Source organism: Homo sapiens, chromosome 21 (genome assembly GCF_000001405.40).
Source record: "Homo sapiens chromosome 21, GRCh38.p14 Primary Assembly".
Lineage (NCBI taxonomy): Eukaryota > Metazoa > Chordata > Mammalia > Primates > Hominidae > Homo > Homo sapiens.
In genome coordinates this window covers 33,160,103-33,170,950 of record NC_000021.9, presented here as the reverse complement: position 1 = coordinate 33,170,950, position 10,848 = coordinate 33,160,103, and the positions used below count along the sequence as shown (strand labels likewise).

The following is a 10,848-nucleotide window of genomic DNA, read 5'->3' as shown; positions in this document are numbered from 1 at the left end:
ATGACTTTAACTCCTCCAATTTAGCAAATATTGGTTGAACATCTCCTACTGTATTTAATGGAATGTAAGAGATCATTGACTATAAGGCACGCCATTATTTTAAGAGGCTCTAAGAAAAGAGCTTCCAACTCAGCTATGACACTCTATGAAAAGTAAGACTTTCCTAGGTCAGAAGCACAGAAGTGTAAAAAGAATGTTGGTCTCGGGATGGGTACCATGTGCACTGTAGCTTAATGGGCATAGTGGGGCATTGTGACATAGAAACTGCCCTTGCTCCCAGCAGAGGAGAAAAAGCGTGTAAAGCAATGTCAGTGATAACAAGCAAAAATAGGACAGGGGAGAAAGCCAAGAGTCTTCAGACCACAAGAGAAGGAGAGATTAATTCTGGTAGGGAGGTATCAAGGAGGCCTTCCTGGATGAGGGGGTGGCATCTGAGCTGGGCTCAGGAAAAGGTGGGGCTTGAACTATTGGGGATGAAGGGAAAGGCATTCCCGGCAAGTGGGAACAGCACAGGCAAAGGCTCTGAGAGGTCCTAGAAATAAAGTTATTGCACTTCAAGGGGGTTGTAAGATTTATGGGTGAGGATAAGGAAAAAGTAGAGAATTAGAAAAGCAGTGAACTTACCCCTTTACCCAGAAATCCCCCTCCTAAGTGCATGGCCAAGAGAAATTTGCCCTCAAGTGCACCTTTTCCCTTTAGGAAAATCCACCTGGATGGACAGCAGCAGAGGGAGGAGGAGGCAGGACAGACCAGAAGAGAGACAATGAGGTTCTGAACCTAGATGTTGGCCAAGGGAGCAGAGGAGGGCAGGTGAATGGCGCTATAGGGGATACTGTAGCAGGAGGGTTGACTGGACTCAGCAACTGGGGAGGGAGTAGGCAAAAAGAGAGCCTGGGAACTTAGGACAAGAAGCAGGGTATTTTTTTTTTTTCAAGGGAGAGGTAAGCAACAATGATTTACTTGTTCTTACACATGGAACTCTCCAGGGCACTACACCTGCATTTAAATCACTTGGCTCCTGGCACATGGCTCTCCTCCCATTTCTCTTTCTGTCCACTCCCTCTTCATTTGTCCTCTGCCCTCTTCGTATGACTGTTCCTTGGGGCCCTGTCTCCAGGTCAGGAGGCCCTCGCCCTGCAATCACCCTTCCTGGGAGCCTTCACTTCACCTGTGATCTCAAGACCTCTCCCTACTGCCTGACTCGCGCCGAGCTTATGGAACATCTTCCCTTGAGGGTCGCAGTCCATTCGATGAGGTATTTTCCCCATGAAATCCCTTATCTTTGGGAACCTCTTCTTTTCCTTGTGCGTCCTATGTGGGTGGATGGAGAACCACTCTCCACGTGGTTACTCGGTCCAGAAGGGCGGCTGTCTGTACAAATGCGCCTCTTCCTTTCACTTCCTCTATCCAACCAGCTTCTTCTGCCCACCTCCCTTTCATGCTCCTTTCACGCTCCTTTCACATGCTCTTGGCTCACCGTTTTTTTCTTTAAGTTTTTAGAGACAGGGTCTCGCTCTATCACTCAGGCTAGGGTGTGCTGGCACGACCATGGCTCACTGCAGCCTTGACCTCCTGGGCTCAAGCTATCCTCCTGCCTCAGCCTCCTGAGTAGCTGGGACCACAGGCACGCACCACCATGCCTGGCTAATTTTTTATGTTTTGTAGAGACAGGGGTCTCTTTCTTGCCCAAGCTGGTCTTGAACTCCTGGCCTCAAACAATCCTCCTGCCTTGGCTTCCCAAATTGCTGGGATTGCAGGAGTTTGCCACTGCGCCTGACCTGGCTCGCCTTTTTTGCTCCTGGGCGTTGCTCTGACAACCGCAACAAGCTGTCACCTGACAGCTGTGGCAGTGGGTATCTGCTGTGGCAGGCTTTCTGTCCAAGCCTGCGGGGACTTGCTTAGCTATACTGGCTTGTGTGTAAACTTGGAAGCTCAAGGGAGGTGGCTTTCCTTGGGGGAAAACTTTGACCAATAGGGGCAGGAGCTGATGAGCTCATCTGTCTTCCATCCATGTCTTGGGTGGACAATTCTGAGGCATCTTTCACACGCTTCCTCAGGGGGTCTCCAGGGGATCCAGTCCCAGCAGCCCATGGAGGTAACCAGGCCAATAACACCACACTGGGATGCTTCTTTCTCCTCCCACTATTTTTAAAATTTTTAATTTTTAAAACTTTTTGTTGAGATGCGGTCTCCCTGTGTTGCCCAGGCTGGTCTTGGCCTCCTGGCCTCAGGCGATTCTCCTGCCTTAGCCTCTCAAAGTGCTGGGATTACAGGTGTGAGCCACCACACCAAGCCCACCTCCCTCTTTCACTCCTCCCAGCCCCCATTGCTGTTACTTGGCATCAATTCCTAAACAGCCTGCACATCAGCCCTTGTCACAGGTCCTGCTTCTGTGGGGAGCTCAAGCGCGGACACCCTTGGAACACTCCCCAAGTCTCTTCCTTCCCATCCAGCACCACTTCCCTAAGTCACAGCTGCACCACCTCTCATCTGGACTGCTCACAGCAGGTACCTAGTTGATTTGCCTCTAATCTTGTTCTGTTGTAATCCATTGACACATTTTAGCCAGGATGGTCTGTATTAAATGAAAATCTATCTATGCCACTTTTCTGCTTTAAGTCCTAGAGAAGAAGCATCTCATTGCCTACAGAATAAATTCCAAGCTCTATAGCATGGAACACGAAACATCTCATCAGCTGGCCTCTCCCACCCTCTCTTTCCTGCCTCATATTTCATTTCTTCCTCCTGTTCAATAGCGTGTTGGCTCCAAGCTGCTTTCAGTTTGTGTGCACGTGCCACACTGTTTCATGTCTGGGTGCTTTTGGTCATGCTCTTGCCTGGATGCCACCACCTTCTTTGGCCTGGCTGATGTCCACATGTTCTTTAAGCCTTGATGTGAGCATAATCTGTGGCCATTGCTGGTGCCCTGCTATGGTGCTCTGCTTATCCCCACTGTGGCCTGATTCCTCTGTGAAGCAATGCCCTGTTTATCTGAGTTCCTTCAGGAGAGAAACTACATCTAGTTAACTCTAAATCTCCAAATATGTAGATATAGATATAGATATATCTCCAAATATATCTATATATGTATTTGGAGATTTAGAGGTAACTAGATATGAGACAGAGTCAGGCTCTGTTGCCCAGGCTGGAGTGCAATGGCACCATCTCAGCTCACTGCAACCTCCACCTCCCGGGTTCAAGCGATTCTCCTGCCTCAGCCTCCCAAGTAGCTGGTATTACAGGTAGGCACCACCACGCCTGGCTACTTTTTGTATTTTTAGTAGAGATGGGGTTTTGTCCTGTTGCCCAGGCTGGTTTTGAACTCCTGACCTCAAGTGGTCTGCCCACCTTAGCCTCCCAAAGTGCTGGGACTACAGGTGTGAGCCACCATGCCTGGCCAAGAAATACATTTTTGCACTAAATTCTAAATTAAATTCCTATTAATAAAAGCTTTCTGTTGGCCACATTTGTCACGGTCGGTGGTCCCATGGAATTGCAGGCTGCTGAGAAGCACTGGGGAGGAAGGCACGTGGAATTTGTCTTCAGCTGCCCCGGGCAAGAGGGGATGAGACCTTGCCTGTGGGTTGCTTTGCCTTAGCACTAGCCTCCTGGACCAGTGTCTAGGTGGCTCCTCTCTTTTTCATCCCAAACAGACACTCCACTTTCCAGCACGAAAATCTGCATTCATTTCTTAGGGCTGCCATAACAAAGTACCCCAAACTGGGTGATTTAGAACAACAGATATTCACTGTCTCACATTTCTGGAGGCAAGAAGTCCAAAATCAAGGTGTCAGCAGGGCCATGCACCCTCCACAGCCTCCATCCTTCCCAGCCTCTTCCAGCTTCTGGAGGGAGGGAGGCACAGTCTCTATCCTTCCTGGCCTCTTCCAGCTTCTGAAGTTGGGGGAGCCACAGCCTTCATCCTTTCTGGCCTCTTCCAGCTTCTGGAGGGAGGGAGGCACAGCCTCTATCCTTCCCAGCCTCTCCTGGCAGCTGGTGGCCAGCAATCCCTGCCATTCCTTGGCCTGTGCTTCCATCACTCCACCTCCTGACTCTGTCGTCACATGGCCCTCTTCCCTCTGTGTGTCTCCAAATTTCCTTTTCCTTACAAGGATACGCATCATTAGATTTAGAGCCCACACTAATCCACAATGACTTCATCTTAACTTGATGACATCTACCAGAACCCTATTTCCAAAGAAGGTCACATTGGCAGGGGCAGGAGATTAGTACTTCACTGGATCATTTTTGGAGGGGACACAATTCAACCCTAAGAACTATGATTCACTGAACACCTTCTTTGAGTCAGGCACTATGGTAGGTAGGTTGCACACAGAATCATATTTAATTTTCTTCACAATCCCACCAGGTAGCGGGTATTATCACCCTGATTATACATGTGAGGGTACCCAAGTTCAGAGAGGCCATACAGCTCGTTGAGAAGGAAAACCGGGCTGGGGGCAGTGGCTCACGCCTGTAATCCCAGCACTTTGGGAGGCCAAGGCGGGCGGATCACCTGAGGTCAGGAGTTCGAGACCAGCCTGACCAATATGATGAAACCCTGTCTCTACTAAAAATACAAAAATTAGCCGGGTGTGGTGGTGCATGCCTGTAATCCCATCTACTCGGGGGCCTGAGGCAGGAGAATCACTTGAACCCGGGGAGGCGGAGGTTGCAGTAAGCCAAGATCATGCCATTGCACTCCAGCCTTCCAGCCTGGGCAACGAGAGCAAAATTCGATCAAAAAAAAAAAAAAAAAAAAGAAAAAAAAAAAAAGAAAAGAAAAGAAAAGAAAAAAGAGAAAGAAAACCCACCGGGCACAGTGGCTCATGCCTGGAATCCCACTACTTTGGGAGGCTGAGTTAGGCACAGCACTTGAACCCAGGAGATTGAGACCAGTCTGGCCAACATGGCGAAAACCCGTCTCTACAAAAATACAAAAATTAGCTGGGACATGGTGGCGTGCACCTGTGGTCCCAGCTACTCAGGAGGCTGAGGTGGGAGGATTGCCTGAGCCCAGTAGGAGAAGGTTGTAGATCACGCACTGCACTCCAGCCTGGACAACAGTGTCAGACCCTGTCTGAGAAAGAAAAGTAATAATAGAATAAATAAAAATAAAATCACTCTGTGGTGTGGTCATGCACTAGCATGACCCTGGGCTCTGTGAACAAGGTGGTTTTGGGGGATACAAGAAGGAGGCCAGGTCCTTACCTTCAGCAAGCTTAAATCTTTTTATCATCATTTTATTATCTCTCACAGGTGGAGTCAGGATCAAAATAGCCAAAGAAAAAGTAAGAATCCGTATACAGGAAACAAATATGTGATGATGACCGGAGCAGCTCAGAATCAGAACTTGAGCAAGACCTGGGCTGCTTTGATTTTCTGAAGGTCTCAAAATATTAGGGGCAAAAAAGAAAATAAAAAAAGAAAAAAAAGAAGGAATACCAAAAGCAAGTTACATAAAGTATGAGATATATTACATGTTTCCAGTGAACAAGTGAACAGTTTGGCACGTCAAAGACACAACGTCAGAGCATTTAGCCTCAATTGGCGATAACCTGAAAAGCCTGAAAAGCAAAGCCTTCTGGGAATGTGAGCTCCAGTTCTGGGATGAACCCTGAAAAGGACAGAGTGAGCCACACGTGGTGGCCGGACCATGGGTAAGGGGTGAGCACTGCTGGGCTCCATTCTGCTGGAAGGACGGACAATCTCCTTCTGCACAATAACTGGTGTGAGGGGGCCGGACGCTGTGAGGGTCAGGAAGGGGAGGGTCCACCCAAAGTAGGCTAATGGAGCAGTTGGTGACCCCATTTCCCCAGCTTTCAGCCAGAGATATCCCAGATGTCATGGGAGAGCCATTGGATGCTCTCAGCTCTGAATTTTCATGCCTCTGCCACGGTTAGCATCAGAGCAGTGATTTCCATCCAACATAGCAAAAAACTTTTCATGGGAGACCAAAAGCTTGTGGCTTCAGAATGAATCCAGAAAAAAAAAAAAATCCCTGTCATGAGGGTGAAAGGAGCTGCCAGCCTCAACAGGGCTCCTTGGAGAAGACATTTGAGACTTACATTCCAGGCAAAGTGGCACTTCACATTCTGGGTTCTGACCTTCTTGGAATAAATGTCTCCACCTGCGGGCAGAACTACCTGGCTCTCCTCCATACCTGCTATATCAGAATCTGGGTAGAGTTAGGGAGGGGTAGAGGTATCCTAGGTAATTTTTTTTAGGCACTAAGGCTGAGGTCCGTCGTTCTAAGCTTTGGGGTGGAGGTAGATGGGGAAGATGATAGTAAGTTGCCATTTCATGGGTGCTGATTCTTGAGGGCAGAGGAGTCCATTTAAGTGACTGGGAAGGAGGAGGCTCACATGCTGGCTTGGATGGAGGGTGTGCCATTTTGCTAAATGTGAAGCATAGAGAGAAGAAGCTTCTGGTGGTTGGTTGAGAAGACTGAGCCAGGCAGTATCCCTGGAGGCTCAAACTAGTAACCGTTCCTGGGCCTTGTATCAACCTGTTGCCTTGCCATTTATTCCAGTTACATTTTGCTGTGCAACAAACCACCCCAAAATGTAGTGGTTTAAACAACAATCATTTTATTATCTTTCACACTTACTGTGGGTCATGAATTCAGGAAAGGTTCAGCTGAGCAGTTCTGTCTTGGGGTCCATCATGTAGCTGTAGTCAGAAGGTAACTAGAACTAGAAATCAGAGGTCCAGAGTAGCCGGGGGCTGGTTGTACATCTCTCCCTGTCTGTGTATTCTCACAAGCCTCTCCAGGAGGGCTTTCTGGGTCAGATTGTTTGAGCTTCCTCACAGCATGGCCGCATCTTGGGCCCCTTCATGGCATGGTGTCTCAGGGAAGCCACATCACCTTTAAGGACTCAGTGTTAAAGGTCATGCAGCATCGCTTCCATCATTGACGACTGGCTGCAAACAAGTTATAAGGCTGCCTAGATTCAAGGGGAGTGGGCATAGACCTCTCCTCTCGGTAGAAGGAGCATCAAAGTTCCATTATAGAAGATCAGGTGAGATGGGAGATACTCTTGCCACCATTTCTGGAATGTTCACACACACACACACACACACACACGTATATAAAATTTGGATATTTTATATATATGTATATCACACATACATTACATATATGTTATATATTACATATGATATATAACATGTATTACACATGTGTATATTATATCCAAATCATATATAAATATGGTATTTGGATATTACATATATAATATGCTGCACCCTACATCAAAACATTTTAAAAACAGAAAGTTTCTCTGCTGATCAATCAGTTCATCAGTGGTGGGGGAAGCTGTCTTTCTTTGGACAGTTCTCAAGGAGTTGGAGGCTTTCCTTTTGAAACTGAGGACCTGGCAAGTTTCTCTTTTCTGAAGACATGTCAAGTGATTTTTGATGCCTAAGCCATAAATAGCATTCCTTCAGACATCACTTTAAAATGTTTTTTAGCTTGCTTATGTGTGTGGTTGGGTACATGACAAACAATTCTTCCCATTTCATTGATGAGGAAACTGAGGTTCAGAGAAGAGGCCCATGGCCCAGCGTAATAATAGAATGAGGACTAACTAGGAGTAAGTATTTCTGGTTTCCATACTAAAGCCTCCACCAGGCTATCCTCAGGGGTGTGGGGAGACCATTCGTGGCTTTCGGGAGCTGTTTTGCAATGTCTGGGAGCTGATGATGCTTCAGAACTCATATAAAACTGAGAGCAGTTTGCTCCCTTGCTCAGAGACCACCAGTGGCTCCTCAGCACCATCAGGATCAGATCTAAATCTCTCTGAGGGATGTTCAGGGCCCTCCATGGTGGGATGTGCATACATATCTTTATACAAACACATATATCATTCCTCAAAGTTAATTCATACCTGTCGGAGGCTGATAGGCATTTGATAAAGATCACAGTTTCTGGAAAGATCACTGTCTCTCTGCTTTCCATACCCCCAACACCCACCCTCTCTTCCTTGAAGAGCTCTTGCTGGTTTTAATAAAGGAGAGAGACCCACTGTGAAACTTCCTTTGTTCCATCGGAGGCCTGAAGCTGAAAGAGAGTAGGCTCCGCCGTCTGGGCTGACAAGAGGAGGGCTGGGAGTGGGGGCAGCAGGCGGCTGAGGAGGCCAGAGGAATCTTGGGGAGGTTTCCATATGCTGGGGAGTTTCCAAAAGAACTTGAAGCCAACTGCGCTCTTTTGGACAGGGCTTGTTCCGTGCCGATCCACTATGTCTCAAGTGGCCCATAAAATTTTTACTACATTTTGTCCACCCGTGGATATTGTGACCTAACGTGACCCAGTCAGAAATCTGTTTTGGCAATGTTTTCAGAGGGGATTGGAATGGCCCGGGCCGCGGCCAAATTGACAGTGCTTGCTTTAATCAGGAATGATGGCTTCTGGTGGGATTCGGAGGCAGGGGGTGCAGGGAGCCGTGAACTTTGTCACAGAGCAACGACTTCTGTAAAATTCACAGCAGTTCCTTCCAATTCTGTTGGAATGAGCTGGAGTTACTACAAATGTGTGCCTATGGGCTGCAAGTAATAATGGGAATGGAGTCTTATTTCAATTCTGAACTCACAGAGGAAAAGCTAACTGGGTGAAATCATTTTAATTCTTTCAAAGTATTTTATCCTATCCTTTTATTTTAATAACCCAGATTTAAATGAATGGAAATACATGCAAAATATGGACCCTATTTTTGAGTGTCTTGCAGTTAATCTATTTGGGAGATGTGTCTTCTCAATTGTCATTGAACCTGCCATGGTTGGTGTGTATTAGGCTGTTCTTGCATTGCTATAAAGAAATACCTGAGACTGGATAATTTATAAAGAAAAGAGGCTTAATTGGCTCATGGTGCTGCGGGCTGTACAGGAAGCGTAAGGCCAGCATCCGCTTCTGGCGAGGCCTCAGGGAGCTTTTATTCATGGAGGAAGGCAAAAGGGGAGCAGGCATCTCACATGGTGGGAGCAGGAGAGAGAGAGAGACAGAGAGAGAGAGAGAGAGAGAGAGACAGAGAGACAGAGATCAGCAGGGCGCGGTGGCACTCGCCTGTAATCCCAGCACTTGCCTGTAATCCCAGGCTGATGAGGGCAGATTGCTTGAGGCCAGAAGTTCGAGACAAGCCTGGCCAGCATGACAAAAACCCCATCTCTACTAAAATTACACCAATTAGCCAGGCATGTAATTCCAGGTACTTGAGAGGCTGAGGCATGAGAATCGCGCCTTGAACGCGGGAGGTGGAGGTTGCAGTGAGCCGAGATTGCACCACTGCACTCCAGCCTGGGTGACAGAGTGAGACCCTGTTTCAAAAAAAAAAAAAAGAGAGCAGAGAGCAGGGGGACATGGGGGAAGGTGCCACAGACTTTTAAACAACTGTATCTCCTGTGGACTTGGAGAGAGAGCTCACTTATCACCAAGGGTATGGCCCAAGCCATTCATGAAGGATCCACTCCCATGACCCAAATACCACCCACCAGGCCCCACCTCTAACACTGGAGATTACATTTCAACATGAGATTTGGGCAGGGACACAGATCCAAACTATATTAATTGGTTAAGTTGCCTTCAAGGAATACAGCATACATGCAAAAATGCCTAGTTTCCAAAATGATTAACTCTGAAGCCCCCCAAAACTTAGACATTTTTCTCAGGGTTTCTAAGTGTGGGATGGTATCAACAAGTTCATCTGTATTTTTATTCATCTCATTCAACTCTGGGAGGCCTTTGAGTCAGCATTTGATGATCTGTTTTTATGACTGTTCTGGTATTGTGTAGTTAAACTCTTTAAAGTCCAGGCTTCTTATATTTTGTCAATTTCTTGTTAACCTTTCCGGGGGGTGGGGGCCAGGAATTGTAGCCACATTATGAAGACCATGTTCGGCAACAGTAACACCATCTTGGTGAGTTCCACCTAATGTTAGATGGGTCTATGTGACCTTCATAGAAATGGAAGCAAATCAAAAATTTCGTGATTTTGATGAAACTATATTAGATTTAAAAAAAATCCTCAAAGTGGCAAAAGCACTTTGCAGATGTCAGGGTATTTGAAGCAATGAGAGAGTCGCCTCCATGACCACCACCACCATCATGGGAACCCTGTGAGTCGCGGCCATGTGGAAATATTGATCTTACTATACGAGCAAGGCCACTAAAGCAACCCTGGCCACTGAGTGGTGCCTTTTGGTTACTCCTGGTTCTGCCACTTTTTCACACACATGGTTTTAGCAAGTATGGCTCTTCAAAGACCTTCTTCTTGCTTTATTACATTTTCTTCTATGCTACAGGCAAAATAGGACTGGTGAGTGAATCAAAATTTACAAAAATCCAAGGCAAACGGCCACCAGAAATTTCAAATGCAGTTCGATTTGGTCAGACTTTTGGTATTTAAGTGAGTAACCAAAACAGATTTTGTTTTCTCCTGAAGCAGTGGTTCTTGCCATCATGGAGTTGTGACCCTCACTTCTTGATGTTTTGTTTCGTGACATTTCCCCCATTTCTAAAAGTGCTATAAAATATGTATTTATAAAAGGCGCGTGTATATATGTGTGTGTGTGTTTCAATGTAAGAGATATTGATTAAATTGTCTTTTGAAAATATGTTCTTGATTTTGCTATGCTGTTTAAGGAATTTGGAGGTGTTTTAAGCCAAGGTTTAAGAACAGCCTTTCCAGATGGATCAGCTGCACTACTTAGGCACTTGTGCAATAACTTTCCTCCAATTTTAGAACGTGGGAAACAACAGGAGACACTTGATGACTTTCGCTTGGCTGTGGTGGGTGAGAAACTATGCTTTGTAGGATAAGGGTTGAGCTGTATGTAACACCACCTGGACATTTA

The 10,848-nt window shown here is 46.6% G+C and overlaps 1 long non-coding RNA gene across 1 annotated transcript, besides 1 other annotated feature; it reads left to right on the top strand.

The window, feature by feature from the left end:
* The first annotated feature begins 714 nt into the window (after positions 1-714).
* LINC01548 (long intergenic non-protein coding RNA 1548) lies at positions 715-5,481 on the top strand. Its single transcript, NR_024102.1, has 4 exons — positions 715-810; positions 1,118-1,255; positions 2,370-2,508; positions 5,260-5,481. It is a non-coding gene; the product is annotated as a long intergenic non-protein coding RNA 1548 (long non-coding RNA).
* Positions 1,434-1,503: an enhancer, noted in NCBI's record as "active region_18367". NCBI's record gives its function as "activates an Ori minimal core promoter by ATAC-STARR-seq in GM12878 lymphoblastoid cells {active_cell/tissue: GM12878}" and the evidence as "EXISTENCE:reporter gene assay evidence [ECO:0000049][PMID:35858748]".
* Positions 5,482-10,848: the final 5,367 nt, after the last annotated feature.